Genomic DNA, 5,352 nt, shown 5'->3' with positions numbered 1-5,352 from the left:
CATATTGGATGGCACAGCTTTAGAGCATTCCCTTCACGTAGGAATGACGCTTCCTCACTCCTGTAAGCTTCTCAGTGTAGACACGGCATCTGTTGCCCCCCACTACACCCCGGACCCCTGAGACAGTGCCTGGCACAGCCCGGATACTGGCTGAATGGACAAACCCTGTAGCTTTTGTCTCTACCAGAGGAGAATGTGCTGGAGAGTGGCCGCCTGGAACCCCAGGGCAGAGGGTGCTGTGGTGAAGGCACAGACTTGGGGGTCAGAGCTGCGTTTGAACCCAGACCCCCAAATGTAGGAGCTCTGTGAGCCTCAGTTTCCTCATCAGGAAATAGAACATTTTCTACCTCAGAGCATTGTGGTGAGGAATAAGGGAATTTTTTTGGTAATAATAGCTGAGATTTATTGTGAGTTTCTCTTGTTTTCTAAGTTTTCCACACATTGTTTCATCCCATTCTCTCAGCAAGCTGAGGTGTGGAGGGGCTTGGTGGCTGGCACCCACGCAGGTTGGCACTGTGAGGGAGCTGTGTTTGAGCTGGGCAGTTTCTTTCCTCAGTGCTTGCCCTTCATCGTAAAGAGTCCAACTGGTGGCAGAAATCCCAGCGGTTGCCCACCCCCCTCTCGGTTCCCCCTCCCCCCTCTGGCTCTTCTCTGAGTCCAGATGCAGGAATGAGGCCCCCCGCCGACGTGTGTGAGCCCCTTCTAGGGGCAGCTCTGGGCAACCAGGGCCTCTGTGGTGTCCAAAGGGCTACGCCCAGCGGAGCAGGAGGACTTCGTCCTCACAATAGCCCTGGGGGCCCTGAGGGTCAGAGATGGGCAGGACGCCAGGTGGCCATGAATGGGCTGGTGACCCGGCCAATTTCTCAGGTGACCCCACTGCTGGCCCGACCTTGCATGCCTCAGTTGGTCACTGTGAGCCTGGTCCAGCTGTGTGAGGTCGGCCTCTCTCCCCTCAGGCAGGGCGGCTTCCATTTACACTCCTTGGGGACTCTTCTTTGAGGGACTCTGAGGCTGAGAAGGGAGGGTGTGGGGAGTGGAGAGGAGTGTGGAGGAGGGGCAAGAGAAGCCGGGAGAGAATGAGCTCTGTGGGTGAGGGGTCATCTCTGCTCAGGAACCAGGACATTTGGGGATTTCTAACCTCTTAGGCAGCACTGAGCCACAAGCTAAGGTTAATAATAATAACATTTATCAAGCACTTAGAATGTGCCAGCCACTGTTTTAATCACTGTACTCTTCAAATTAAATTCTGTGATTTAACCCCATTTGAGAGATAAGTGAAGTAAAGAACAGAGAGGTTAAGTAACTTGCCTACGGTCACACAGTGAGTGGTAGAGCCAGGATTTCAACCCAAGCAGTTAGACTTCAGAACCTAAATCCCTATGAAATTGCAAATCCAGATTATGTCATCATTTATGTGCTTGCTGGGAAGCCCAAAAGTTAGCTATCTGGTATACCCCTTTCTAGCTGGTACATCAGAATTTTAGGGAGCAGGAGTTTTGAGGATTTGCTCAAGGACATACCCGTGACTGAGATGGAGCTGGGTAAGAACCCAGTTTCTGACTCCTACTCTGGTCACACACTGAAGAAAAAATCAGGACTTGATTACACTAAGACAACCAGAATTCCACCTCCACTGTGATTGCTCCTAGAGACTCCAATTAAGTGTTTCCGGAAGCATGTCTATGGGATGGTCTGGGAAAGAAAGGTCCGGAGGGAGAGGAAGTCTGGACGATGTTGAGAGATTCATGGTGCTTATTTGCTGACCAAGGCACACTCTCTACATCAGTGTAATCACAACATTTTGGTAAAAGTGCTTGATTCAATAGAACTTAAAGACAGAGTAGCTACAGCTTAGCTTCAGAAGAAGGGGGTGGAAATTAGACACAATTGAGAGGGAGATGGTATGGGGGGAAATGCTGCAGACTTCAGAATTGGTAAACTCGGCTATAGACCTGCTGCTGTCCTGCCTGTGTGAGGTTGAGCTACTCCTTAGAGACTGTTTCCTCATATGGACAACAATGGCTCCAGTGTATGTGTGAGCACAGATGAGGTTGTTGAAATACCTAAAGCACAGGGTCGTCTTGACCAGTGATAGCTACAAATATTCTTAAAATAATTAGCAACAGTTCCAAAAGTGTTTTAAAGTCATGCGAATTCCTTGGAAATTAATGGGTACTACTTGACAAAAGCTTCTGTGGTCAAATAAGCTTAGAAAAAGCTTAGTTAAGCAAAGGGACACAGATTTCTTTTTGCAGAACTCACTGCCTTTAGGTTCTGGATTCATATTCAACTCCATTTCCAGTTATGTTTCTTACGATTCCCAATTCTGATATTTTAAAAGAGAAAACGTTGCTTTTCTATTTATGTTTTGAGAAATATTTCCCCCTTTCTTTTCCCTAAGTCTTAAAGTACTTGTAATCTTTTGTGGCACTTTGAATGATAACTAGTAAGGTATCCCGAGCTACAGCAATGATATGTGTATCACACATGGTGTCACGGGGACAAAGCCAGTATTTATTGAGTGCTTACTATATGCTGGTTACTTAACATACATAATCTTATTTACTTAATGCAAAAAATAGTAATTTTGTTATTCCCATCTTCTCATTTTATAGCCCGGGAAACCAAGGCTCTAGGAGCTCAAATATCCAAGGCAACTATGGAAGTTTATGGCCCTGCTGGGCTTAAAACCAAACTTTAGGCTGATTCCAAAGTGTGTGCTCCTGGGGTGGTGGACAAAACATGGAATTGAGGGATACTAGAAAATGAAAAGTAACCATATAGAGAAATGAACAGCTCCTTGGGCAATGAAATGCAAACAGAGGAGCCCCAGGAAAAAAAAAAATGAGTTAGCGGGGCCATATGCTTTCCCCTGGCTAGAGTGCTGGGGCTGGAGAGATGACTGAATAAATGAAGAACAGGGTCAAGTTGTCTAAAGGTTGACAAGCCAGTAAAATGACAGACTGCATCTGGATTAAGAGATGGAAAATGTGCATAATTGCAATAAATTGACCATTTCTACCTCCTTTGGCTGAGCCCTGGACCTTCCATGTCTTCACTTTGGATTAATTGTGATTTTCCTGCCTCGTTTCTATGTTATTTTTTCTAATTTCTGAAAAATAACTTTGAAGTCAGTTTCTGAGAAGTGGCTTTTTTTTTTCCATTTTACATTTTACATGGTGCTGTTTTAATGACAATATTACTTTTGCTAGCTGTGTGATGTCTCTGTGCTGTAAAAAAGTATCCCAGGGATCTGACAGACAATTAGGTCTGGGAATTCCCACTGCCAATCAATTCTCAGGCATTTTTCCCCCCTCTAAAATGACTCCAAAGCAGTTATTTTGTAATCTGTCAAACTGAAACAATAAAACTTACAGTATTGTAGTGTGGATTAAATGAGATAATATGGGCACAGTGCCCATACATCATCAATGCCCAGTGAGAACATAATTGTGTTACTGGAAAAGGGGTCTTGATCCAAGAGAGGGTTCTTGGATCTTACACAGGAAGGAATTCAAGGTGAGTCGCAGAGTGCAGTGAGAAGAGGTAGTTCATGGAAAGCTATTCTGTTACAGAGTAGGGCATCCTCAGAAAGCAAGTGGAGGAACGCACTGTCTTTAAATTTTTCTCATATGGGGTCTTGTCTATGTAAAGACTAAACTAAGCTCTGTCTACGTGTGGTGAGCAGACAGCATGACAAAATTGATTGTTCTATTGATTTAAAGAAAACTATTCTTGACATGTTAGTGTGTACATAGATTGAAGCGTAACTGTAATTATCCTAAAAGCACAACTTGTTATGGGTATTGGGACATCTGGACTTTCTGTAGTTGCAGGAGTGTGTCCTTGGAGGCATCTTTAAGCTGTTTCCTCAATTGTAACTATCTTATGACCATATGACTGGCAAAGAATGTGCCTGCTAGTTTTAAGATGGAGGTGATTTTTAAAACGGTATCACTCTGGCTTTCCTAGGTTCCTGTTTCCCTAACAGTAGCATGAGGTAGGTGCTCAATAAATGCCTGTCTGTTTACTCCATGTGTGTCACTGTGGCCACCCACTCCTGCCTAGCCCCAGGCCCTTTCTGCACCATACCCTGATAAAAAACATTCTTCTCCCTTGCAAATGTCCCTGGTGTCCACTCTGCTGTCTCCTGTGAGCCCTTGACCCAGAGCAGCTGCCCCTTGCCTGGCACCTACTTGCTGGACTGGCTGTTTGGCTGGGCCACTTTTCTCAGTATGCTCCAGTTCCGTGTCTTCATTGTCTGAGACTGGAATTCTGAAAAGTCAGGTTTTCTTTTAAATATATTGTTTCCTTTTTATTATAAAATGATCCACACTTACAACTGAAAGTATGGAAAATAGGAAAGAAGAAAAAATTAAATCTTCATTGGTCTAACAGCCAAATACAGTGACTGTAAATTCTTATGTCACATTTTCTTGCATTTTTTGTCCACACGAAATGTGTTTGTTTGAACATAATTGGGATCATATAATACATAAATTGTGCACCTTGCTTTTTCCTATAATATTATAGCAAGCCCTTAAGATATGATCACAAACTCTTCTTTAGTGCGCTTGATAAAGGGCATCAAATACTCCGAGTAACCGGAGATATACTTTACCTCCTTCAACAGTTAAAGCCCATCATTTCTTTATTTCCTTTTTCTTCATCTGAAAGGTGTTTGTTGAAGGGCCCACACTGGGCCAGGCAGTATTAGATGACATAAAATATGACAATATGACGTAAAGCTTCTCTAATAGTATACACAGTCCTGGGGTGAATTTTGTACATAATGAAACTTTTTCCAAGTTTGAGGTATCTTCCTAGGCTGATATCTCGAGGTTCCCAGGAGTTGGTGGCAGTTGACTGTGGTTATTAGTAGGAAGATCTTAGGTCTCTAAGTTAGACAACCAGGTCCTGACCCTGGACAAGCCACATGTACTCTCTGAGCTTCAGTTGCTCATTTCTAAAATACTGGTTAGAAAGCCTCCCTCCCAGGGTTCTCGTAAGGATCAAATGGTCCATGCTGGAATAATGCCTGGTAGGTAGTTACCATTTAACAGCACACACAGCGACAAAATATCTCATTAGGTTTGAGGGTATGACAATTTTACTCTGTAGGCTTTCTATCAATAAGGGATCGAGGCATCTCTTGGCCACCCTCCTTGAATATCACCTCCCTTCAGCTCACATGGGTGTGAGAGGTTAACTATCCTCTTTCCTCTCCTCATTTGCCCAGGAACAAATCTCTGTGAGGCCATAGGGAAGGAAGTGGGCTCTGAGGTATTATCTAAAAAGAACCAAATTAACTGCTCACCCTAAGCCATCTCCCCGACTGGCTTCCACGGTGCC

General features: G+C 44.1%; 1 annotated feature.

The window, feature by feature from the left end:
• Positions 530-1,364: an enhancer, noted in NCBI's record as "H3K4me1 hESC enhancer chr12:106581756-106582590 (GRCh37/hg19 assembly coordinates)". NCBI's record gives its function as "activates a minimal SCP1, AML or CMV promoter by ChIP-STARR-seq in naive H9 embryonic stem cells {active_cell/tissue: H9 hESC(naive)}" and the evidence as "EXISTENCE:reporter gene assay evidence [ECO:0000049][PMID:30033119]".

This window comes from Homo sapiens, chromosome 12 (genome assembly GCF_000001405.40).
Source record: "Homo sapiens chromosome 12, GRCh38.p14 Primary Assembly".
NCBI classification, from domain to species: Eukaryota; Metazoa; Chordata; class Mammalia; order Primates; family Hominidae; genus Homo; species Homo sapiens.
Note: the sequence above shows the minus strand (reverse complement) of the source record. Positions and strands in the feature narration are given on the sequence as shown.